Source organism: Homo sapiens, chromosome 5, assembly GCF_000001405.40.
Source record: "Homo sapiens chromosome 5, GRCh38.p14 Primary Assembly".
In the NCBI taxonomy this organism is placed as follows: Eukaryota; Metazoa; Chordata; class Mammalia; order Primates; family Hominidae; genus Homo; species Homo sapiens.
In genome coordinates, this window is record NC_000005.10 from 102287639 (window position 1) to 102315184 (window position 27546).

The 27546-nt window shown below is 37.9% G+C and overlaps 1 protein-coding gene and 1 pseudogene across 4 annotated transcripts in view, besides 2 other annotated features; one reads left to right on the plus strand and one right to left on the minus strand.

Annotated features, from left to right (window-relative positions):
* SLCO4C1 (solute carrier organic anion transporter family member 4C1) overlaps positions 1–8646 on the minus strand; it is a 62299-nt gene extending 53653 nt beyond the window's left edge. The window contains exons 1-4 of one of the 4 annotated variants that reach the window (XM_047417146.1): positions 8270–8646; positions 7953–8006; positions 7079–7161; positions 3705–3968 (exon numbers count right to left, since the gene is read on the minus strand). In XM_047417146.1, the coding sequence (XP_047273102.1) occupies positions 3705–3909 (205 nt within the window). In that variant the 5' untranslated portion in view covers positions 3910–3968; positions 7079–7161; positions 7953–8006; positions 8270–8646. Of the gene's footprint in view, positions 1–3704; positions 3969–7078; positions 7162–7889; positions 8007–8269 lie in introns of all 4 variants that reach the window. The other 3 variants (XM_011543372.2, NM_180991.5, XM_011543370.3) reach the window with 3 other exon arrangements.
* Positions 2424–2624: a silencer, noted in NCBI's record as "peak5379 fragment used in MPRA reporter construct". NCBI's record gives its function as "represses an SCP1 promoter by STARR-seq MPRAs in K562 erythroleukemia cells {active_cell/tissue: K562}" and the evidence as "EXISTENCE:reporter gene assay evidence [ECO:0000049][PMID:32103011]".
* Positions 8412–8611: an enhancer, noted in NCBI's record as "active region_22853". NCBI's record gives its function as "activates an Ori minimal core promoter by ATAC-STARR-seq in GM12878 lymphoblastoid cells {active_cell/tissue: GM12878}" and the evidence as "EXISTENCE:reporter gene assay evidence [ECO:0000049][PMID:35858748]".
* RN7SKP68 (RN7SK pseudogene 68) lies at positions 14866–15172 on the plus strand (annotated as a pseudogene).

Sequence of the window (27546 nt, forward strand, 5' to 3'; positions counted from 1 at the left end):
GCTTCAAGCATTTCTCCTGCCTCAGGCTCCCAAGTAGCTGGGACTACAGGCATATGCCACCACACATGGCTAATTTTTTTTTTCTTTTTGTATTTTTAGTAGAGACGGGGTTTCACTGTGTTGGCCAGGCTGGTTTCGAACTCCTGACCTTGTGATCCGCCCACCTTGGCCTCCAAAAGTGCTGGGATTACAGGCATGAGTCATTGCGCCCGGCCAGGTTTTATCATTTCTAACATCCCTTCCGTTTCTAAATGTCTGAATTCCTTTAAATGTGTAATGCAATTTCAATCCTGAATTTTGTGTCTGTCATATTATAAACACCTACACATACCACAATGACACTTCTGTTAAGAAAAATCACAGGGGAAAAAAATGCAAAAATTCAACACAACAGTGATGCATTTTCATTCACCAACAATGGGAGAGTAACTAATATATCCCTTCCTGAAAGTCAGTGTGACATTATCTATCAAAAACTAGAATGAGGAAGGCCTTCAAATTCAGTATTTGCACTTCTAGGAATCAAACCAAGTGAATGACTTGCACATTTATGTAAACACGTATTTTGGGGATATACACTGCAACACTGGATATATAATATGCAGTTCATACTAAAAAACTCCAAACCCGAATTCTTAATTTCATTCTAATTCTGTTCTACCTAGTCTTCCACCTTCTAGTAAAAACGGCCCCAGCTGATCAAGCCAAATACCAAGGACTCCTTCATTCCTCCTTCACAATATATCCAACAGAGTCCTATTTCTTTTTCCTATAAAACACACTGAGAATCATTCATCTTCTGGATCTCTGCTGCTACCACCCCAGTCTCAGCCACATTTATCTCCCACCTGGACTACAATAAAAATTTCCAGAGTGATTGGCTCCCATTTACTCTTGTCTCTTAAACTCCAGTAAGATCATGCACTTCCCTGTATAAAACTCTTCCACAACTTTGCATTGCATTTCAAGCACAATCTAAATGCCTCCCTAGTGTCTACCTGCCTCTCCAAAACAGCCTCCCTTGCTTTGACAATGCTGACCAAAACGGACTATTCCTAAAACCTACCAAGCCCTCCTCTGCTCCAAAGCCCTTAACCATATTTTTCTCCAGCCTGGAAATTATCTTTCAAGGTTAGCTCTTCACTATCCAGATATTATCACTGTAGCCTTTCCTGGCAATCATACTTAACCTTTAACACAGTATTACTTCATTCTATTTGTCTCTTTACCCACTCACCTCAATTTTCAATTATCTTGTTCATTTGTTTATTAATTGCATATTTCTTCCCACTAGTACATAAAATCCAGATGGCATGGAACTGTTTTACTGGTGTTATCTCAACACCATGTGTAGTCCATATCAATAAATATATATTGTATGAATGGCAGAATAACAGGAGGGCAAGCTGAGTTTTTGCTTTCATTTGCCACATTTAAGCTATTATTTAAATTATGAGTCAATTTACAGTAAAAATCTTAGATCAGCCAATTCCTCTAACCTATTTCAATAATCTACTAAAATAATGAAAAATGTTAATTAGATCAATAAGAACTTGGTGAAAACCTGCACAGTACACTACTAAAAGTTTATGATCTGGCTTCAGCAATCTTAGCTTCACCTCTGGTCACACACAAACACCTTAATTTGTGGCAATTTTCCTTTAGGAAAATAAGTTCTTCACAATGGCTATAACTCCAGGTATAAATGGCAAGAGAGGAAGCTGAGAAGATCGTGGAAGACAGATCAGGCTTTGTACTGGAAGAAGTATTTACGTTTCAGTTTAGAGAGTCATAGATTTTCGAGCAAGGTTTGTTTACTTAAGAACAAGCAAGGCATCTGAGCAACTGAAAGGTTGAGGGCCCAGAAACAGCACAAAGATTACCACCTAAATGCTATGAACAAATAACTATCATAGAATCAGTATTATGTTTTCTTGTGTGGCAGATGAAAATTTAGATATTCCCTTACGATTTAGATTTCAATAGTGTTATACTAAAGCCTACGCTGCAATATGTGGCTTGTTCCTAAAACTATTCCCAGTGAAATTATGTCAAGTTGCCTTGTGCAGTCTTGTCCAATCTCAGATAATGTGCTAGAATCTATGTAAGTGCTCTCTCTGCTGATAACTTATTCTCCTTATCTTATTCATTCCAAACTCTACCACATTTTAAAAATACTCTCCATTCATCCGCTTACATATTCTATTTTTACTTCTAAAATGAAGCCTACTTACCTAATAAGTGCACTTCTAAAACCATGCTGTGTAATATATAATTTGTTATTGAGAATATTTTCCTGTTTGTTATCATTCTAGAATTGGAAAATTGATCTTGGGAAAGATTAATACTTTAATATTGTCTTAGTCCATTTGCATTGCTAAAAAGGAACACCTGAGGTATTTATATAGAAAAGAAATTGATTTGGCTCACAGTTCTACTGTACAAGAACATACTGCCAGCACCTGCTTCTAGTGAGGGCCTCTAGCTGCTTCCACTCAGGGCAGAAGGCAAAGGGCAGCTAGCCAGAGATCACAGAGATCACATGGGGAGAGAGGAAGCAAGAGAGCTACAGGGGAGGGGCCAGAATCTTTTTTTGTTTGTAGAGTCTCACTATATTGCCCAGGCTGGTCTCTAACTCCTGAGCTCAAGGGATTCTTCTGCCTCAGTCTTCCGAAATGATTTTAGGCGTGAGCCCCCACGCCTAGCTCAAACTCTCTTTAACAAACAGTTTTGTTGGGAACAAACAGAACTCACTGACCCCATTCCCAGGGCATTAATGTATTCATGAATGATCCATCTCCATGACCCAAACACCTCCCTCCAATATGAGGTTTAGGGGGACAAACATCCACACTATAGCAAATACTAATTTTCAATATTAACAAACAAATCTAACAATCTTAACTTCTTAAAAATAATTCCTATAGCATAACAGACTCCAATTATCCTTTGTCTTTTATTTGCAGGGGTTAAGTAAGTGAATAAAGCCTCTGAATTTATAACCATCTGATTTTATTTCTAATTATTTCAATATTTGCTATTAGAAGTCCCAGGAAGGACATTAAAATGTTAAGGTCTACTTTCATTTGTCCACCGTTCTGGCTCTACTATATTTGTTTTTTTATTAAAAATGTCATTGGGAAAAAATATGTATATAATTAAATTTCCTTTCTGAGCCTTTGAATAATATATTTCTCCATCTAACGAGAGCAACTGTAGGTTGCTCTGAAGTTCTATGTTTCTTATCTAGGTCCAAAAGTAGAGCTAGTTTCATTTCTTAGGAAAATTTCCACTTTTCTAAATGTCACCTCTCTTTGTCTCAAATCAGGAATCAACATGTCCAGGGTGCAGAGCTGTAAACACAGCAAATAAAAGTACAAAAGGGAAAAACTAAAGATCTCAGAACTCCAATGAGGTCACAACCTGCAAAGGAAAACAAGTCATCTCTTCTTGAGGAGGACTGTGTATAATATGGGGAATAAGAATTAGAGGCTTAAAAACTTGGAGAACCACTGAAACGATGAATAATGTACAGTCTCTCTAATCTCCTATCTCATACAGTTCACACAATGAACAAACCAGTGAGGTGTGGAAGAGATGTAAACCCTTACCATACTGTGTAAGTGAATTGCAATATAAAGTTAATGACCTAGTTTTATCCACTTCTTCAGATTAAAACAAACATAAACACAATAGAAACTTACCTTCAAAAAGAGACCCCAATTTATATTCTCCACTGAAAAATTGTGGCAATGAGAATACAAGTGCTCCCAGTCCAATCATAAAGGCTGCAAATGCAAGCCATCTCGGCTTATGTCCTCTTTCACCAAAGAATGATACAAATAAAGACAACAAACAGAATGAAATATCGTAGCTTGATGAAATCAGGCCAGTCAGGGAACTCTTCATTTCATAACGCTTCTCAACAGTGGAAATGCTAATATTTACTAGGCCATTAACTACAATACCTAAAAAACAGAAAAGTTGATGTGCATCATTAATATTTTACCATACGATTAAGATTATTAACACAATGAAGTAGAGTTTGATTATTCATTTCTTTTTTTTCTTAAAATGTACCAGTTTTCAAAGCCTCAAAGTTTCAAAGTTAGGCAACCTAAACATATTTCCTTGAAAATCAGTTTGCTTTTTATTTTTGTTTATTTATTTTTTATTTTTATTTTATTTATTTATTTTTTTGAGACAGAGTTTCACTTTCATTGCCCAGGCTGGACTGCAATGGCGCGATCTCGGCTCACCGCCACCTCCACCTCCAGGGTTCAAGTGATTCTCCTGCCTCAGGCTCTGGAGTAGATGGGATTACACGCATGCACCACCACACCTGGCTAATTTTTTGTATCTTGTTAGTAGAGATGGGGTTTCACCATGTTGGCCAGGCTGGTCTTGAAATCCTGACCTCAGGTGATCCACCCGCCTCGGACTCCCAAAGTGCTGGGATTACAGGTGTGAGCCAACGCGCCTGGCCCAGTTTGCTTTTTAAATTGTACACTTGTGAATTTTCAGGTGTCCAACAAGACTGATGCTTGCTACGTACTAAATTATAGTTAACTAGCCTTAATTCATTTTTCTTTAAATGATGAAGTCAAACTGGTAAAGTCCCGTGAAGCCAGTTTGATAGAGTTTCCAAGTATTAATATATCATACTCCCATGGACCTCACTCAGAAGACTACAAAAGGCACAAGAGACCCCATAGGCCACTACAGTTAGGCTCAATTGCTTCCCAAATTATTCAATCCTTAAACATATTTATCTATGACAAGAGATAACTTTGACTATTACTTTATCTCTTCCCTCCTCTCCCCAACTCCAAAAAAAGAGATAACCTTGATTTAGTCTTAGGAAGAAGAAATTGAGCTCTCAAACCCCTATATTTTTCTAACATTCTTACAGATATTAAAGTTACCATGTAAAGGATTCTAGAGCAAAAGTAAACATAAGTCTTTCAACCACTTGCATTCTAAATTGTATGCAAAGTAAAAGAAAAAAACATATATTTATTATAACTATAGTGAAGGAATAGAAGGTAAACAAGGTAAGACTGAAAATCTGAAAATTTTGACTTACTTAAAAATGTCCTGTCCAGATATAGATTAAACTTACAGGAGTTTTAAACATAACTATAAATTGAAAATTTTAAAAATCTGATTGAATTAACTAGAGATTCCTTTTACTTAGGTATGATAAATTGTTTTCATTCATTAACAGTCCAGATATAGATTAAACTTACAGGAGTTTAAACATTACTATAAGTTGAAAATAAAAAACATCTGATTGAATTAACTAGGTATCCTTTTTACTTAGGTATGATAAATTGTTTTCATTCAATACCAGAATGAGTATATACATACAAGTCATGATCTCCACAAATCTCTTTAAATTTTGATTAAGACCGTAGCTGAAAATATATTTCAAAAAAAATAAATTCAACAAATTTAATAAGTTTCAAAACTCATGACATATTTTTTACTTTTATACCCATTTCATAAGACTATAAGCCAATTTACAATTCTTAGGATTTCAAAATAAAGTACCTAAAGTATCTTAGGATGACATTTTTATACGTTATCTAATAATACAAAATTTTCCGCATCCAATAAAATCAACTTCCCTATCACTTGCCATACTGATTAAAAATTAGTTAATAGAAAGAATTGTCTTTATGGTAAAACTTCTCTTTGAAAAAAAAATTTGTAAACTCCTCAGGAAGGATAGCACATTAATCCAATGACTCTTAAAGTGAATTCTATGCTATACAAGTTCCAAGAACACTACTTAAAAAAACAAAAACAAAAAAATCAGGAAACGCTCCATACTACATCTCTCTGTTGTAAATGAATGACAATAGGAAGCACATTAGAAAATTAAGTACTTAGAGAATCCCTGTTTGTCTTTGAGAAATGCTGGGTTAAATAAACTCATTCGAGAAATTTTGTTTTTCTTTCCAATTAAATGTATATTTAAATATACCATGGAAATGATCTTAAGGATCATGTTTGAGAAACATGGCAATAAAGTTTTCAGGCATTCAAACTTAAACTGAAACGTAAACTAGTAATTTATTGGGTCACACTTTTTATTATTATACTTTTTTTTGAGACCTTGCCTCGCTCTGTCACCAGGCTGGAGTGCAGTGGCGCCATCTCGGCTCACTGCAACCTCCACCTCCCGGGTTCCAGCCATTCTCGTGCCTCAGCCTCCTGAATAGCTGGGACTACAGGCGTGTGCCACCGCACCCGGCTAATTTTTGTGGTGTTTTGTTTTGTTTTGAGACAGAGTTTCCCTCTGTTGCCTAGGCCGGAGTGCAATGACACGATCTCGGTCCACTTCAAACTCCGCCTCCTGGGTTCAAGTGTTTTTCCCACCTCAGCCCTCCAAGTAGCTGGGATTGCAGGCATGCGCCACAATGCCCAACTAGTTTTTGTATTTTTGGTAGAGACGGGGTTTCACCGTGTTGGCCAGGCTGGTCTCGAACTCCTGACCTCAGTTGATCTGCCTGCCTCAGCCTCCCAAAGTGCTGCAATTACAGGCGTGAGCCACGGCGCCCGGCCATAATTTTTTGTATTTTTAGTAGAGACGGGTTTCACCATGTTGGCCAGGCTGGTATCCAAGTTCTGACCTCAACTGATCCGCCCGCCTCGGCCTCCCAAAGTGCTGGGATTACAGGCGTGAGCCACCATGCCCAGCCTATTGGGTCACTATTATCTCAGATTAAGCTTCTTAAATTGGGGACCTCTGGGTAGATGCTGCTCCAGACTAAACCTGACAAATTTTCTAGGAGTGACAATTACATTTGATAACAATTTTAGGCAATATTTTATATTAAATATAAAATGTTATATTTTGGAATAATATAGAAATTTCAGAGGAATTTTAAGATAATACACAAGATAAGACATTTTTTACTTGTGTCCAACTTTTTTATCTTCGCATTCCTTTGACACTGAGATGCTTCACAATTACCAATTTTGTAAAACTATGATCAAGACATTAATGGAGGGGAACTTTGGTAGGGACAAGAAAAGTGGACAGGGAAATAATTCTTCAACACAAATCTACCTTCAGTAGAAGAGCTGCAGCGGACTTGCAATCAATAAATGGTTACTTAGCATCTAATGCGCAAAGCAAGGGGCCCTGGGTTCCTTGAAGAGGAAGAATAAGAACAAAAAGTATACTTAGGCTTTGACTTAGTTTTCTATTAACTTAAAAAATGAGCTGTTTCCAACCCTCTAAAATCTATATTTCTAAGGTTGTATTTCTTCCAATTAATCCTTGACTGATTATACAGAAAATATTCTCGGACTATGACTCAAGTGACCAAAAAATATCTACATTCCAATTCAGCTAAGCTTCGGCATGTCCTTCTTGACTCCTCTCCACCTCTTCTCCACCCTTCCTCAAAGTCAACTCAGGTTAACTTCCTATTTTCCTTCAACCTCTGTATTGAACACACCAGAAGCAGCTTTAACCTTCCCTGTGCCTTCTTTCAAGGGAGCTGTTCTCCCTCCAGGATATCACTCCTCCAAACTGAGCTTAGATTGCAAGCCCCTGAGGGTATAAATCTGAACTGAATCTGTAACTCCCAAGAGAACCTAAAAGAGATCCTAGAACAAAACAGATGCTGGATAACTAATGTAACACAATGAAGATTAAGGCTCAACAACGTCGGGAGCCTTTGCTAATTTACTCACTGGGCTCCTCTGGTGACCACATACTCTCAAACTAAATACACTCACAAAACATGAATGTCTGTATCTAATTTATACGATAGATTTTTCATAGCTTTCTTCCTTGTAAGGCATCCCACTCCCACCTGCAAACGTATTACTCCTTCCCCTGAGGCAATGAAACAAATGTAAAAGTAAAATACCTTTAAAGAGTGCCTAGGTAAATTTTTGTCTTTATAATGTAAAATAAACTCCCCAGGGTATACCTTTCCCAAAGGAAGGTTCTTGTAATCTTCCCTGTAAGTCTTGAATCCGCTAAACTGAGGTAAAACACAAAAGAGAAAAAGGCTTGTATTGCAAGTTTGAACTGTAGTGATAAAGGAGAAGCTGAACTTTGGAAGGCTGGCTGGGGGCCGGTAGGTTGACCTTGGTGAGAGCGCAAGCAAGTTCCAAACCCGGGGCCACCTTGCAGGGCGCGTCCACCGTCCCACGGACCCCGCGCACCTGCCCTCTCCCCCGGCTGGCTCGCCGTGCCCACCTCGCTCTCCACTGGCCCGAGCCTCAAGCGGGCGCTGGACTTTACCTTGCGTGACGGCCAAGAGGCAGTAGTGAAGCAGAAAGCCTCCAGGTGTGTTGCAGCGCTGGAGACATTGAGGATGGAAGTTCCTCCAGCCGTAAGACCCCTCCTCAAACTCGGACAGCGACAGTGACCGGAGCTTCTCTTCGGAGACATTGGGAGGGGCTGAAGGCAGAGATGGCTCTGGTGACTTCTGGGGCTCCTGGGGCTTCTGAAGCTCCTGTGGCTGAGAATTCTCTCTTTGGGGGTCAGAGGACAAGGCAGAGACTTCGATTTGGGAGGGCGACGCAGACAAGCGGCGCAGGATGTCTGGGCTGGAGGGGACAAAAGCCAAGTTCTCAATACCTTTGGCGCTCTTCATGTCTGGATGGGTTCTCCCGACTCCGGTGCTTCAGAGCAGCAGAGCCAGGTCCCTCTCTGGCTCCTCCCACAGGCAGGTGACAGCGCCCCCGTGCGGGAAGCTTCCCGCCTCCTGGCCCTCCAGCCTCCAGCGCACTCTCCGCCACCGCCTGAACCTTCCTACTCCAGCTCGCAGCTGTCTGGAGCGCAGAGCGCTGAGCGGGGGCGTTAGCGCCCCAGCCTGTGGCTTTGGCGCTCAGCTGTGCCTCACCCGTCGCCTCAAGGACCAACCGGAAGGCGCGGCGTGGGCGTGCCACCCGGCGGCGGCCGAGTAGAGGGGGCGAGAGTTCTCACCCCACAGCCTTCGACCGGAGTCCGCCTCCGCCCAAGCCCCTGCGGTTCTGACCTGAGCCTTCAGCCCGCAGCGCGCCTCCCTTGAGCCCAAGCACTGGGAACACACAGAGACTGTGGGAGTCTCTGGCCATAAGCTCCCCTTGGGTGCTGACATGAAACCTGTAAACAGTTGCATCAGGAGATTGTTCAGGAAACTATCTTGCGTTTTCTTCCTTTGCTGCTTACCAAAGCAGTCTAGGCTTGGACTCCAAGAATCAAGACGTCAGAGGTATACTTTGGTTCATGAGCATCTTGATAAGACTCTTGCCTGTCATCCTGTTACTGGTAGAAGGTGTCCAGGTTCTTGGCATCTTGAAGAAAGAATTGAAGAAAACGCACAAACAAAGCAAGGAAGGAATGAAGGGGTTTATTGAAAATGAAAGTACACTCCACAGTGTGGGAACGGGCGAGCATAGGGGCTCAAAGGCCCGGTTACAGAATTTTGGGGAGTTTAAATACCCCCTAGAGGATTCCATTGGTTACTTTGGGTATGCCCTATGTAAAGGGAGAAGATGAAGTAAAGTTACAAAGTCATTTATGGCCTACGCCCTATGGAGAGGATATTTCCTGTTACAGCTGAAGTGTGAATAGGCCTTATGTTTCCTGCCTCCAGACCCTATTTTCCTGCCTCAGTCCTCCTTAGAAAAAGAAATCCACCCCACCCCACCCCCATCACCACCAGGATGAACATCACAGCATAACCACTGCTTTGCTTTTCCTTCTCCGAAACTGAAGGACCAGAAATTGTCTCTCTGCTGTATATTGCATATGTAAGATATACAGTGATGACAATCATGTAAATAATTTCTACCGGGCCAGGCGCGGTGGCTCACGCCTGTAATCCTAGCACTTTGGGAGGCTGAGGCGGGTGGATTACCTGAGGTCAGGAGTTCAAGATTAGCCTGGCCAACATGGTGAAACACTGTCTTTACTAAAAATACAAAAATTAGCCAGGTGTGGTGGTGCAGGCCTGTAATCCCAGCTACTTGGGAGGCTGAGGCAGGAGAATCATTTGAACTCGGAAGGTGGAGGGTACAGTGAACCGAGATTGTGCCACTTCAATCCAGTCTGGGTGAAAGAGTGAAACTCTGTCTCTTAATAATAATAATAATAATAATAATACATGTCTAACTGTGGAATAAATAAGAAAAACACTTCGAAGAGCTTAACACCATTGTGTCATGGTAGGTACAATTTAGTCATTCATTCTTTCACTTAACACAGACACAAAAAATTCTTGTGTCCTAGGTGCCAAACATTGTTCTAAGTTCTGGGGGTACACAAGTGAACAAAGACTGGCAAATACCCCTACCCTTATGGTGCTTATGTTTTAATAGGAAACAGACAGTAATAATACATAGTACATGGCACATAATATGATAAATACTATTTTGTGAAACTTTTGTTTCAATTATATATGCTGTGTTTACTGGGTTGAGAGACAGATATAAAATATGTATCTTACTTTGGACAGAGGTACATTCTGTTACCTGTTTCCTCACAATCGAGAAAACTCTAGACTGGCCAGCCGGGCGCAGAGGTGCAGGCCTGTAATCCCAGTACTTTGGGAGGCCAAGGTGGGTGCCTTGAGTCCAGGAGTTTGAGACCAGCCTGGGCAACACGACAAAACCCTGTCTCTACCAAAAATGCAAAACTTAGCCTGGCATGGTGGTGCACGCCTGTAGTTCCAGATACTTGGGAGGCTGAGGTGGGAGGGTCGCTTACAACCTGGGAGGGTGAGGTTGCAATGAGTACTCCAGCTGTGCCATAGAGCCAGACCTTGTCTCAAAAAAATAAGAATTAAAAATAAAAATAAATTCTAGATTGGCCTAAAACATGGGGAAAGAGTAGAAGTAGGAGCTAACATTTAAAATGTCTGCTATATGCCCCATTATTAAAATCTTTACAAAAGCAGCTGCACTGTTATATATAGTTTACATATTGAGGAAACCATATCCCATAAAGAATTAGTAACTGTCCCAAAGTCACATAGCTAATAAGTGAACTGCCACTTAAGGATCTGAACTCGGCTCTCTTAGCCAGAAGTCTTCCCTAAACTTTGCATTTTCTGTCTTTTAATAACTACAGTGTATCTCCATCAGGTTAAATTATTGCATAGCAATTTTAAGAGATCAAAATTCAAAATTCTGTGATATTCGTGAGGCTTAGAAGATTAATGCTGCTCTGAAAACCTAGATTTTGGAGGTATTCAAATTAAGCATGGTATGTAATCTTCCTGGGCTTGCTTTCTACAAAAATGGACTCAAAGTAGGTAACTATTTTGATCACCATTTTATCTATGGAATACGAAGTAATTTACACAACCAGAAAATTTTGTTTTGATGGGATGTGATTACATACAATCATGGCTTAAGACTATTTTGCAGCTGTGACTTAATAAATCCATGCTATACTATCAAAATCAGAGTAGCATAATCATCGTGCACTTAAATTCATACTAAGGAGAAATCTCCACTCTCACAGTGTTAGAGAGAGAATTTTGGTTAAAGATTAGCAAAATTACTATTGCTTCATCTTAAATACATCTTGCTCTTACTGAAAGTTTCAATTTCCTGTTCCCTTACATTCTTTATGCTGCAGTGATGGAAGGGGCTTCGGTTTGCAACAAAAACCAAAAAACAAAAATAGGAAAGAAAAATTGTTAGTTTTCATCCCTGATAATTCTATGGAAAAACGTCCATTTTAAAATTAATTGTTTGGTCAATCTAGGTTAAATCTGCCTCTAATGAACACAGTCAAAATATACCATCTTAAATTTCAGAAGGTAATTGATACTTTACTCTTCTTATAGTACATTTTATTTGCTATGTTTTTAAAGGGTGGAGAATGGGAGAAAGAGAATGTCCAAAATTTATGGTAAGGCTCCCACACTGTAAACAGAAGCAGTCCCTGCCTCTGGATATCATTCTCTGGGATGTGCAGTAGGTCTTTCCTTTCAGGAATTGGATGAAACAAGGTGAAGTGGCTTAATGACAGAAGTTATCAAGATTGTCCTACTAACTCCCCTTGCTCTGATTCCATGCTTAAGAGCGATCTTATGATTTGGGCCTTCCATGTAGATATGTATACTGGATGAAAATGTATTGATATGCCTATCTTGAGTACTTTATCATTTTCCCCTCTGTGTTGTTAATGCTTTATTAGTTCCCTTCTGGTTTTAGACTAAATGTGAACCCTTTAGCAGTATAACACTATGAGCTCATAGAATATTAAAATTAGAGGGATCTTGACAGTGGCTGATTACAAACATGGTCAAATGTGAATATCGTTGAGGTTAATTACAAATCCTAGTATTAACGGTTTATTAATATCACAGCATCTTATATTAACTGAATAAAAGCAACCAGACAATCTAAGTGACCATCTTAGTATTATTGATTTATCTTTTCAGTTTTAAATGTTTCACAAAACATATAGTTAAAAATAATAAGTTAAATCTAAGAAAAAAATTAACACTGAACTGTATTGTTTTTAATACTGTTTTAAATTGCAATTACACATAAATATATAATCATATTGAGAAGAAATGCAACTGTACTTTTTCTTTTCATCTTATTCATCATAAATCATTAAGAAATACATACATAAGCCAGGCACGGTGGCCCATGCCTGTAATCCCAGCATTTTGGGAGGCCAAGGCAGGAGGATTGCCTGAGCTCAGGAGTTCGAGACCAGCCGGGGCAACACGGTGAAAACCCGTATCTACTAAAATACAAGAAATTAGTGGTGGCATGTGCCTGTAGTCCCAGCTACTCAGGAGGCTGAGGCAGCAGAATTGCTAGAACCTGGGAGAGGGAGGTTGCAGTGAGCCAAGATCACGCCACTGCACCACTGCACTCCAGCCTGGGTGACACAGCAAGACTTGATCGCTTAAAAAAAAAAGAAAGAAAGAAAAAGAAATACATACATAAACATGGCTGATAATAATTATTTGAAAAAAAAACATGTCAACATTTAAAACAGTAATCCTATAAGAAAGCAAACAAAGTAGATAGTAAAACACTAGTGTAAAAATTACAGAAGGCCCAGAAGACTCTCCGAGTTGAGGATACAGAGCTGAAAGTCCAACAACACTAAGACAACTGGAATTTGCAAAGCAGAGTACCAAAAAGGAGAAAGCTGTATAGAGGGATGTGCAGTGTCCCCTCCTGTATTCAGCAGATTTGGATAGCGTGTGGGTGTGAAGAAACTGTTCTAGTCCAAGGAAAGAATCATCTTAAGGGATTAGAGGAATAGTGGCTAGTGCTTGCTCACATAGGGCCTTAGGAAGGTGGAATAAAGAAGTTTTCAGACATTGAAAAAAAAACTGAAATAACCAAAAGCACCTACAACCAAGAAATGTTAAAAAGAAGTCCTTCAGGCAGAAGGAAAATGATACCAGGTAGAAATATTTTTCTATATGAAGGAATGAAGAGCACCAGAAATGAGGAGATGGAGCTTAAGATGCATAGATAAATATGTGAGATTTTTTTCTTATTATTTCCATCTCTTTAAAAGATAATTCACTGTTTAAAAATAATAATAAACTATTACAGGGTTTATAAGATATGTAAAGGTAAAATGTGTGACAACAATAGTGCAAAGGCCAGGAAAAGAGAAATAGAAGTATGCTATTGTAAATGTCTTTTACAGAAAGTGATATGTGTGTCTCAGAAGTGAAGTGATGTAATATCAAAGGTAGAATATGATAATGATTGATACTATAAGCCTTAGAGAAACCTCTAAAATGGCTACAATAAAAAACAGTCAGAAAAGGAGATAAAGTGGAGTAATGGAAAATATTCAGGTAATCCAAAAGAAGGCAGCGAAAGAGGACAAAGGAAACAAAAACTGTATTGGAAAAAAAAGAAAATCAGCAAGACAATAAGTTGGGCCTAACCATATTAATAATCACACTAAATGTAAACACTGTAAACATTTTATTTAAACAGAAAGGATTGCCAGATCTGATATAACATGCAAGAACCAGTTAAATACTACCAATAAGAAACACATTTTAGGCCAGGCACAGTGGCTCATACCTGCAATTCCAGCACTTTGGGAGGCTGAGGCGGGTGGATTGCTTAAGGTCAGGAGTTTGAGACCAGCCTGGCCAACATGGTGAAACCTTGTCTCTACTAAAAATACAAAAATTAGCCAGGGTGGTGGCACATGCCCGTAATCCCAGGTACTCAGGAGTCTGAGGCAGGAAAATTGCATGAACCCTGGAGGCTGAGGTTGCAATGAGCCAATATGGCACCACTGCACTCCAGCTGGATGACAGAGCCAGACTCCATTACAAAACAACAACAACAACAACAACACATTTTACATATAAAGGTTAATAGACTAAAAGTAAAAGAAAGTGGGAAATCATGCTTACACTAAAAATGGCCTAGAAATTTGATAGTTAGATGAAATGGACAAATTTCTTATAAAAAAATCACAAAGATCTCTCGAGGTAATATAGAATCTAAACAAGACTTTATCTACTAAAGAAATTGAACTTTCCGTTTAAAACCTTCCCATAAAGAAAAAGTGGTGAATTCTACCAAGCATATAAGAACTAATACCAATTCTAAACAAATTCTTTCAGAAAATCAGAAGTGATTCCAACTCATTCTATGGTGCCAGAATTACTCATCATTTATCTGGACCTCATCATAGTATCCACCCCAAATTACCTTTTATCCTTGTGATTATGATAAATAAATGTGTGTTAATTGATGGTAACTATTAGTATAGTTGAGACAGATAATTCTTTTTGATTGAATGACTATAACAAAACAATGACTGAATAACACATTAGTGTCAACATAGAGAAAGAACTGTAATAAATGCCGAGAACATGTATTAGGATAAGCTATCAAGAATGTGAGGGCCATCTGGCTGCAACATCTTTCACCCCATTGATCATCAGGGTTGATTTGGCTGATGTGGCTGGCTAGGGGGGTGTCCCCTTCCCTCCTCACCGCTCCATGTGCGTTGCTCTGGAAGCTGTGTCCTGGGTCTAAGAGGACAACCATCTCTAGCAGAAGAGGGCGGGTCTTCCCTCAAGAATATAGGAGTAGCTGTGCTTCCCTGCTAGGACCTCCAAACAAGCTCTCAAGGACAGGCTATCAAACAATCCCATGTGGTAAAAACAATAAATAATGGCTCTCCTGGAACGTTTTCCTTCAAATTATGAATTCATGGATCCATCTTCCTCCCGTTTTCTGATTCTCTCATTTCAGAGTTATTTTCTCCCTGCAAGTAAATTGGGGACAGGGTGAAGATCTTCATGCTAGATGTTTCTGCCCAGCACTGAAATATATCATATGGTATTTTTGCCCATATGCCACTGACCAAAACTTAGTCCCTTGCCCTACCAAGATATTAGAGGGGTTGGTTATGTAGTTGTCCTGTATGCCAGGAGGAAAATAAAATAACTTGGTCAACACATAGCAATGTATCTGCCATAAATATTATAAATACTTTGTATAAGAGCATCAGGACCAAACAGGCTAAAACCATGATTCATATCTAACAAGCTGATATAGGTTAAAAAAATTTTTACAAATCAACTTAAATCAAAACTGTAAGATAAGAGAGATTTATCTAAACATCAGCAAATTAAAACATAGGTCAAAAATAAATAAATGTGAAGGACATTAATTAAAGTATTGAATCCAGGTTAATATTTTTCTCTCTATCTGTGCCATTCAGACTATCCCAAAATATTATATAGAATTATAAATGTTGCACTAAAAGAACCATTGACTAATGGGAGCAAGTCCAATAATAACGTAGTAAAAATGAAAAAAAATTGAAATTTGTCATATGAAAATTAGTTGAAATAACTTGAAATTTTATCCTAAAGAAAATATGTAGTGGTTAACATGATAGTTTTCGTAAAATATTTGAGTAGGGGCATCGTTTAATACAGTTATCAGACTTATTTTTTATGAATCTTAAGATTAGTACAAGTGCCTTGTATATAGAAGGAAAATATGGGCTCAATATAAAGAAAATTCCTTTATAAATAGAGCAATTGTTCTCAAAATGTGATCCAGGAACCCCCAAGGCAACTAAGACTTTCAAGGGGTCTGCAAGTTCATAACTATATTAAAAATAATACTAAGATGTTATTTGCCTTTTAGACTCTCATTTTCTTACATAAGTCACTGTAGTATCTGCAATAAAAAAATTTTTAAGAAACAACAAAACAATCATTTTCTTACAAGTGTGCAGTGGAGTTTTCCAGAGGCTACCTGACATGTTGTGTCACAAAAAAGAAAACATAAAAACCCTTTATTAAGATAGAAATTAAAAAGATTTTTTAAAGAGATAAACCATTCCATTCTTCTCACTATAATTTTTGAAAATATAATTTTTTAATTTAAAAAGTGTTCATATATAATGGGTTTATTATTGGTAATTAATTTAGTATTAAAACAACTCATTTAATTTCTAATATAATAAGTATCAATGGCTATACTCCGTTAAATAAAAGTTCTTTGGGATCTTCAATAAGTTTTGGTTTTGTTTTGTTTTGTTTTTTCTTTACAAAACATGAGCTAGGAAAGACTCAGTAAGTTCTAAGAGTAAAAAGGGGTATGGAGACCAAAAAGTCTAAGATCCAGCGAAGTAGAGCTATACAAAATAGGATTGACTGCCTTAATACATAATGAGTTGTCTATCACTAGAGTAGCTAGCTGGTCAGTTATTAGAGGTATTGTGTGAGGCATGCAAACCACAGGAATTGGGTTGGAAACCCACTGAAGCCTACTCCAAAACTAAAATTTAATGATGCTTAAACTCTGTAATCATTGATTAATTTTATAAAATACTGATAAGAACATAAAGTTAGTTAAAATTTTTGTCAAAAATCTACTGTGTCAGAGCCATAATTAGAATTCTCTTGTCTTTCCACTACACCACTTTTATTCCTTCCCCAAATCTTATTCCTTTAGTTATCAACCTTACATCTACCTCTAGGCCTTGGCCAGGCAAACAAATAGACTGTTCTGTCCTAACTGGAACCATTCATGAGCTCAGCATCTAAGATGTTTGTTGGTTTCCATCACCTTCCTTTCTCAGCACTCCTTGACTGAATCAAACATAGACCTCTCAGTCTTCTGATGTGCTGTTTGTTTACCTTGACTCTTGCTCTCTATGTATGTCCAAGGCATTCAAAGTATATATTAGCAAAGAAAGACAAAGATTCAGTCCTGGGATGTGGGTGGGAAGTAAGAAAACAAGAATGAAGCAAATGAAAACAATACCTAATTTTGAGATCATCTATGGCAGCGGTCCCCAAGTCCCCAATCTTTTTGGCACCAGGGACCAGTTTTGTGGAAGACAATTTTTCCATGAACGTGGGCAGGGATGGGGGTGCAGATGATGGTTTGAGGATGAAACTGTTCCACCTCAGATCATCAGGCATTAGATTCTCATAAGGAGCGCACAATCTCACATGCAGTTCACAACAGGGTTCAGGGTTCCCGCTGTTATGAGAATCTAATGCCCCACTGATCTGACAGGAGGTGGAGCTCAGGCAGTAATGCTAGGTCTCCCACCACTACCACCTCCTGTGCAGTCCTGTTCCTAATAGGCCATGGCCCAGTACTAGTCCCTGGTCTGGAGTTGGGGACCCCGAACTATTGGATGAGATGTCATAAAACACTAAGGCACATACAATTGGACACCAACAAATAATTTCCCAAATAACAGGCCTGAATATAAAAGGTATACTAAATGGATGTCCTGCAAGACTTCCTAAAGAAATCAGTGAGTATAGAATTTTATGAGCACAAAAAATGTTGTAAGCATGGACATTAATTAGTTGCTGTGATGTATTTGTCATAATATTCAAGCATGATTGTTGTGTCAATGTTTTGGAATCAATTACATATTGTTTTAAGATTTTCATGGTTCAGAAGTTTATACCTGTATTTCTTTGGGAAAAAAAAAAAATCAAGGCTATAGCCAAAATTCTGAAGTGAAATTAAGGCAGCAAAATAAAACTGCCTACTGGATATTTGAGATGATAGCAGCCAGGAGAGGCTGATCTGGAAGTTGGTTTCCTACTGCCAGTAGGTGCCCTGGAGAAAATTTCAATAATCTCCAAACATTTTTGCAATTAGTATCTGGATATTTAGAAAGAAAAGGACCCATTTATTCTGATCCCTGCTTCTTACGTAGTAGATACAGAAATGTTGTGGGGTTTTTTGAGTCCTAAAACAGCAAAGACCAGAATACCAGTTTGGATATTTTTAAGAGAACGGATTGAACAAAGAGAATAACACAAACTTGGCATTGTCATATAATTTGAACCTCACATAAAAATGTCAAGATTTTTAAAATACGGCTGTTTTGATAGAAGGCAAAACACAAATACTTAAAAACCTTAATAAATAAAATTTTCTTTTAATCTCAGGTCTACTTGCACAAGGAACGTAAAATATACCACTCAAATAGCAATTTCACTGATTTTCAACTTAAAATAAATAAAATTAAACAATAAAGAAAGAAGAAGGAAAGAAATTTCATGTCTTTGTACCCAGCTATTCAATAATACACACTTATTTAGCAGTTATACACTTATCAATACTCACCAATACACTTAGGTGTTGGAAATGTTCTGTGTCATAATTGTGGTTACATGACTATACAGTAAATCCTCACTTAGGGTTGTCCATGGGCCCTTGGAAACCGTGACTGTAAGCCAAACGAGGTATAAGGAAACCAGTTTTGCCTTAGGCTAGTTGATATAAACAAGTGATAAGTTCCTGCCCATGTTTCTGATTACAGAAACATCAACAAACTTCTAAACAAAGACCAAAATATTTCTAATGTTAAATACTGAAAAAAAGTGAGTTATACATATGTATAAGAAAGATTAATAAAAACAAAAGATAATTATTTATAGCTTATTCCAGTTCAGGGTAGTGAGTGGTCAGAGCCTGTCCTGGCAGCACAGGGGCAAAGCAGGAAGCAGCCCTGGACAGGATCCCATACCCCCGCAGAATGCGCTTGCAGGTTCATTCACACTCACTCAGACAGGCACCACTGAGACACTGCAGTTCACCTAACCAGCATGGCTTTCTGATGTGGAAGAAAACCGAGGTATCCAGAGAAAACTCACACAGACATGGAGAGAAAGTGCAAACTCCACACAGGGGCTCCAGCAGGGAGTTATTTTTTTCTTTTTTTCTCATCAATGTCATAACAAAATGATGGTGAACAAAGTGACATTATTCAAAGATCTGCTGTATTCTTGCAAATTTCATCAAATTATACCCATAAAATTGGTGAGCTTTGTGTGTAAATTACACCTAAATAAAACAGATTTTTAAAAATCTGTTTGAATTTAGTAAAAAGGCAAACTAGGCACCATATATTTCAAAAGGTCTTAATGCATTATCTCAATATCTACACTATTGATGCCTTGCCATTTGCTGGCTTTGTGACATCGGGCAAATTATTCCACTTCTCTTAATTTCCTTTTCTGTAAAATGGAGAAAATAGCAGCTGTGGTATAGGACCGTGGTGTGACAATTAAGTGAGTTAATTCATTAATATGCGTGGCAGAATGTCTGGCACATAAGAAGGACTCCATTCAGTTATTCATACACTCTTAAATTCATGATCTACTACATGGAAATTGTTTTACCAAGGCCTTGGTATACAGTGGAGGATAAAATAGATAACATCCTTGCACTTATGGAGCTCTATATCCTAGCTTGGGGGAAAACTATTCATAGTAAAAATGAAAGTACCTGAAGATAACTGTATCTGCTAGGCAAGCAATCAAAACAGGTGCACATGGTAGAGAGAGACCAGATGGTTTCTTTAGTTGGAGTGGTAAGGAAAGGTCTGTCTAGGAACTAACATTGAAACTGAGATCTGAATGGGGAAAATTTAAAGACAGGCTGCACAAACCTGAAGGGATTTGTTAGCCAAGGCAAACTGTGCTTTTGTCCATTAGGGTCACAGGAACATTTGGAAACTTTTAAGCAGATAAATGACTATTTAATTCATGCTTTAAAATACTAACATGGCTCCTGCGTGGCACTGGATTTGGGAAGCCCAAGAACCTATCAGGAAATTGTATTAGGTTCAGCTGTGAGTTACAGAAAAGAAACAAAATCATATTATTTTGAAACACAATATAAGTTTATTTTCTTTTCAAGAGGTCCAGATGTAACCAGTTCATGGTGTTATGGTAGTCCAAGGAGTCAGAGATTCATGCTCCTTCTACTCTATTGTTCTACCATATGGGGTTTCCACTTGCCAAATTAATTTTTGGTGCAAAATGACTCCTGAAGCTCCTGCTATTAAATTACATCTGAATTTCATCCAATAGGAAGAAGGAAAAGAATGAAAAAGGACACTACCTGGAAGTTGCACACGCCACATTTGTTTACATCGCTTAAGCCAGAAATCAGTCACACCTGGCTAAAGGAAAGCCTGTAAGGTAGTGTTTATTATAAGCAGCCATGTGGCTCAGTAATAATCTAGATTTGAATTACAAAGGAAGAAAGGATAAATTATATTTGGAAGATGGTGGTAAATAACAATAACTTAGACTAAAAGAGGAGGATTCACAGTGGTGGTGAAAGAAAGATTGCTGGGTGGGCCTCTTCTTTCTAATGGAACTATGCTGTAGTGTGCAGATTTCTCCTTTGGGATTGTATAGTGTTATACAGCAGATTGCTCCCACCCCCCCACACTTTTCCTTCTTTTTTTTTTTTTTTTTGAGACAGGGTCTCATTCTGTGCCCAGGCTGGAGTGTAGTGGCATAATCTCTGCCCACTGTGGCCTCATCCACCCCAGGCTCAGGTGATCCTCCCACCTCAGCCTCCCGAGTAGCTGAGACTAGAAGTCTGTACCACCACGCCCAGCTAATTTTTAATTTTTTTTTGTAGAAATGGGGTTTCACCATGTTGCCCAGGCAAATCTCGAATTCCTGGGCTCAAGTGATCTGCCTGTCTCCGTCTTTCAAAGTGTTGGGACAGCCATAAGCCACCGTGCTTATGATTCTCTACCCAAGGATGCAGTTCCTATTGCTAGCCCTTCTAACAGCTAAATGCTCTAGCAGGTTTCTACCACTACTGCCTCTATTACCCTTCAGGCTTCCTAGTGGAGAAGCCCTCCTGCTGACCCTAGCTCCAAGGCCTTCCACCTTCTTTTGATGGACTCATGTAACCAAGGTACATAGAGGCATTCAAGAAGTCTGGGAAATACCTGAAGTCACATAAAAAACTTAGTATTTATGTGAATTTCTTCAAAACAGGTTTGTACCTATCATCAAAACTTTGAAGTTTTGAAATCCAGAATGAGATACAGAAAAGTTTGATTATATCTCTACCCCCCAAAAGTTAATATTTACTGGTTTAGAACCAGTTTTGAGATATAATCAAACTTTTCTGTATCTCATTCTGGATTTCTGAGATTTCTCAAGAGGAAGATACTTCAAAACCCCAAAGGCTTTTTGCTAAATGTTCTCATCCAAAACATCATTTCGAAGAAGGAAAGAAAGAACAAAGAAGGGAAATGTTGCCTCCAGGTGAAAGAACTCCTTTGGATACTTGCCTTTTTCTATCAGGTTCTTAAGGTTTTACAGTATGCCCCAACCAAAATAGTGTGAAACCAGGGGTACAGATGTGCAAATGATTTGGGCCCATGAACTAAAACTCCTAGAAAAGGACACTCAGTATTTAGCTTTTAAATACATGAATAAAGGTCAGGCCTAAAGAGCCATAAATTCAGTCTCATAAAAATCAAGAAAATTTAACTAATATTTATTAGGCACTTTATTTTAAAATCACATCTTCTTTACATTTCCCATTTCAATAAGAAAAGAGCTTCAGCTGAACAGTCACTTTGGTGAAGTCTTCCCTCAGTAGCCTCATCTCAGTAAATGGCCTCACTAAAGCCAGAATGCTGATTTAAAAAAAAAAAAAAAACCCTTGACTATTCGTGTTTCCTCATATCTCATATGTGATGGTTAATTTTATGAGGCTCCATGTCCTAATTTGACTGGGCCAAGGAGTGCCAAAATATTTGGAAAAACATATTCTAGTGTGTCTGTGAAACTGTTTCTGGATGAGATTAACATTTGAATCAGTAGACTGAGTAAAGCGGATTGTCATTCCCAATGTGGGTGGGCCTAGTCCAATCAGATGAAGGCCTGAATAGAACAAAAAGACTGTCCTATCTGCAAGCAACAGAGAATTCTCCAGTAGACTGCCTTTGGACTTGAACTGGACATCAGCTCTCCTGGGTCTCCAGCCTGCTGAACCCACCCTGCAGATGTGGGACGTGCCAGTCTCCATAATGTGTGAGCCAGTTCCTGTTAATAAACTTCTTTCTACACACACGCACACACACACACACAGTGATAAAGAGAGAGATAGAAAGAAAGAAAGAAAGAGAGAGAGAGAGATCCTATTGGTTTTGTTTGTCTAGAGAACCCTAATATATTAATCCATCAACAAGCACTTTTTATACTAGCTCCAAGGTATGTCCTGTATCCATATACTTTGTTCCTTACTGCCATTAAACTCTTTAAGTTACCTGTCTTCTGTTTAAACTACTCTAATAGCCTTTTATGGCTCCTTAAATTCTACAGGTTTTTTTTGTTTTTTTGTGTTTTGTTTTTTGTTTTTGCACATAGAACCATAGTGAGTCCTTTAAAACATGAGAAACATTTAAATATCAATATAAAAATTCTAAGAATGGGTTATAATTCAATAAAAAATAAAATATGTGAATATATACCAATATAAATAAGTAAATAAACAATAAATGAAGGAAAAGGGAAAGCCCTTCCGCACAATAAAATGCCAATTAATAATACAGAAAAAAAAATGGACTTAGAAGATGCTAAAACTAGTGGGTGAAAGATTGATGAACAGGATATTACATAATCTCAAAATATCCCTCCACAAATTATATACTAATTATAAAAAAAAGTGGAAGAATACTATAGTGATTATCTTAATCAAGTTATCAAAACTAATATCACAGTATTGGAACAAACTGATATTGATGAGTCTTAATATGCACTGAGAAGGATACCGTGCCTCTGTGTGGCATTCTTGACAAAAACGCATAGCCTGAATCAAATAATAAGAAATTATCAAACTCAAATTAAGAGGCATTCTACAAAATAACTGTCCTGTATTCTTCAAAATTGTTTAGGTCAAGGAAAGGCAAAAAAAGACTGAAAAACTGTTCAGATTGAAGGCAGCTAAAGAAACATCACAGCTAAATCCAAAACCAGAATTCTATTATGAATGCTGAACCAGGAAAAACAGATATAAAATATATTAGTGGGAAAATTGACAAAATTTGAATATAGGCAGTGGATTAAGTAATAGAATTATAATATTAAATTTTCTGATTTTGATAATTATATTGTGATAATGTAAGAGAATGTTTATATTATTAGGAAACACATACTGAAGTTTTTTAAGTAAAGAGATGTGATATCTCAAATTTACTTTTAATATATTGGTAAAGAATAGGAAACTGTAAATGTGACAAAATATAAATAATTGGAAAGACCAAGTAAATGATATGTGAAATTTCCTTGTACTATTCTTGTAACTTTTCTGTAATTTTTCAATTAGACCAAAATTTGAAAATATAAAATTTGAAAAAAAAGGACCTTTCATAAAACCATCCAGTTCTTTCCATCATACACAGAATAAAATAAAATGCCATTCCCATGGCCCACAAAGCCCTATATATTTAGCCCTTGCCTACCTCTCCAACCTTATCTCATACTACTTTACCCTTTTCTCAATATACTTTATTATAAGGATGTTCTGTTCCTTCCTTCAACATGACAAACTCTTTGCTATCTTTAGCCTTTGAATTTGCTATTCTCTCAGGATCTTGTAAAACTGATGTTTTCTCAAATCCAACCTCAGGATAAATGTTATCTCACAGAGGCTTTCTCTGACTTGATTGAAATGGTCATACCCATACAGACACACACACACACACACACATTCTCTGTCATCTTGTCCTGCTTACTTTTCTTGTATCTTTTAAAATAATTTAGATATTTTTTTACTTATTTATCATTATCTCTTTCCTAAACCAGAATAGCTTTATACTTCCAGTTCTAGCACAGTTAGGGTGCAATAAACATGTGTTAAATAAAATGAATCAGTGTGAAAGTGATCCACAAAATAGGTATCATTGTACGAATCATTATGATAGCTACCGTTTATTTCAACAGTAACATGCTAAGTCCTTTATCTTAGCATGTTATTGTGTCCTAACCTTCACCCCACACCTTCCATGATGTGGCAAACAGCTTCTAAAATGGCTGTCAATGAAACATGCCTCCTGGCACTCATGCCCTGTGTCATCCTCTCCCCTTGTGTGTGATGACTGGACCTAGTAACTTATTTGTAACAAACAGAATATGTCAAAAGTGGTGAGATGACAAAAAAAAATAGTAACTTTATTGAAGTGAAAATGGGTAGATATGACCTTGACCATCATCAAAGTCAACAGCACTAGTAATACATACTGACATCATGTACTCCATGATATGATACAAAGGGCAAACCACTTCTGTGTTATCCCTCCTGTAATGCAAAATTTCAGCCTAACTCTGAAAAAATATAAAGCAAACCTAAATTGAGAGGCATTTTACAAAGTAACTACCAGTCCTTCTCAAAATTATCAAGATTTTGAAACACAAAAAAACTTTAGGAATGGTCATAGATCAAAAAGACTAGGAAGACATGACAACTAAATGCAATGTGATGTGGGGGATTAGATCCTTGGAACAGAAAAAATGTTTCCACTGGTAGAGAAAATGGTGAAACCTGAGTAAAGTTGTAATTTAGTTTTATAAAAAAAAGTTACAGGAAGTCAATTTCCTTTTTTTTTTTTTTTTTTTTTTTTTTGAGACAAGGTCTCACTCTGTCATCCAGGCTGGAGTACAGTTGTGTGATCTTGGCTCTCCTGGGCTCAAGCGATCTTCCTACCTTGATATTCCAAAGTGCTAGGATTACAGGCATGAGCCACTGCTCCTGGCCTCTGGCTCTTCTTGCTTACTGCTCTGATGAAGCAACTTCCATATGAGCTGTCCTGTGGAGAGGCCCACATGGCAAAGAACCAAAGGATTCAGTGACTGAGGAACTGAATCCTTCCAACCACCTTATTAGTGGGCGAGGAAGAAGATTCTTCCCTACTTAAACATTAAGATGACTACATTTATAGCTGACACATTGATTCCATTCCTGGGACACCCTGAGCCACAGAACTCAGACAGACTGCATCCAGATTCCTAATCCACAGAATCTGGGATGATAAATGTTGTTTTAAGTCACTAAATTTTGGGTTAACTTGTTACACATTAATAGTTGTTGTTTTAAGCTACTAAGTTTTAGATTAATTTGTTATACAGTAATAGATAACTAACACACATGGTTCTGTATAATTATTGTCTCTATTTTTACAATGAGGCAAGTGGTTTAAAGAAGTTAGATAACTAGTCCAAAGTTACTTAATTAAGCGACAAACTGGAATTTAAACCTGGGCTCTCAGAGACCGTTTATGGTCCGAGTCACTGCATTATAATGCACTCACAAGGCCCTGTACAATAGTAGTTATATTTTTACTAATGAAATTGTTCTAAGCCAGGATAAACTTTTACAAAGCATCTGAACCTATTGCCAAATAAATTTAAGAAAAAAATGCAGCTGGGCACAATGGCTCACACCTGTAATCCCAACCCTTTGGAAGACCAACAAGGAAGGATCTCTTGAAGCCAAGAGTTTGAGACCAGCCTGGGCAACTAATCAAGACCCCACTCTACATAAGTAAAAATAAAAATAAATTAGCCAGGTGCAGTGGCTCACGCCTGTGGTCCCAGCTACTCAAAAGGCTGAGGCAGGAGGATTGTTTGCATCCAGGAGTTTGAGGCTGCAGTGAGCTACGATCATGCCATTGCGCTTCAGCCTAGGTGACAGGGACCCCATCTTTAAAAAAGAATAAAAATAAAATAATAAAGAAAAAATACTTCTTAACATCTGTGTCAAAGTAATACTATGTTTTGGGGAGTGGTTATTCACCATAATCCAAATAATAATATTAAGTAATCTTATTTAACTAGTAAATTCTTTCAGCTACTTTAAGGTACTTTTGAAAATAGCATTTAGTGGGCCTAATAATGATAGATAAAATCATTCTATAAGAGTCGGTAGTGATTTAGAGGAATTTCAGGGCTGATCAAGGCAAATGATATGACATGAGCTTTATTTAGGCAACATTTTGACAGGAATGCATGTGGGCAAAGTCCCCCACAGCATGATACCATCCAAAGGCTATATAGCACTTGCGAGGGTAAGGGATGAGGGCAAGGGAACTCAGAGGGGAGAGGGGATCATAGAGAGGTATTGTGTGTAGGTAATGTTACGCAGCACTCCAGCAGTGAGTCTGGGTCAGAGAGCTACAAAAGGCAGAAGCAGCTTGGGATATTTCATAGCTACAGGGTTGATCTTATCTATGGCTAGCAGATGTTGGGCAGTTTCCTGTGATATACAAAGCAGGCAGGCTCTAATTGGCTAAACATTTATTTGGGCTATGTTGAAAACAACTGGATATGTAAAAATTTGAGTTTGCCACTGGTAGGCTTTTGAGCTCACATATTGTAGACTGCTGTGAAGAAATAAACCAGCTAAGGGTCATCTTTTACTCATTCATGTAACAGATTCACACTAAAGTTCATCTACAATTGACTTGGTCAAATGACAACAACTTACCTTTAAAAGCTAGCCTGATATACAAGAATAACTTTTAGTTCTCTGGCAGGTAACTGAATTGTCAAATAAGTATTTGTTTAGGCATGAGAGGCTCAAAACAGAAAATTATTGGCCTATTGCCAGGCATTGTTGTAGACTGCCCTGGGAACTTCCAAGAGGAGGTGGGATTACCTCTAGACAAAAATAAACAACCTTTTTAATACATATAGTTGCATCATGTATACATATGTAACAAACCTGCACATTGTGCACATGTACCCGAGAACTTAAAGTATAATAAAAAAATGCATACAGTTGCATCTTCTATTTTTTAAAAAACTCTTTTATTATAAATCAGATACACATTTTTAACTTCAGGTAGGAACCAGAAAACACAATTTAGAATTACTAATCTGTGTGCTATAAATGCAGATGAAATATAGCAGTTTAAAGGGAATGATCGCCATGAAGTATTCTAAATTTTTTAAGCCCTGTCTCCAAGCCAGAACTCTAGAAATGAGAGAAATCAGCTCCTGAGTAAAATATCTTTACTAAGCTATAATTTAGCATCTGTATTTTTTAGGACATGCTATATTATGTCACATTACGGTAACACATTACTCCTCAAATTGTGGTGCCTTAACATAATAATGAAAAAAAAAAAACCTATTTCTAGCTCCAGTGCATGTTCAATAAGGATTTAAGGGTGTTTGGTATGCTATATATTTTCACTTAGAAGCTCAGGTTGAGTAAGGATCTATCTGAGCTGTACTATCTGAGACATTACAGATATAGTAT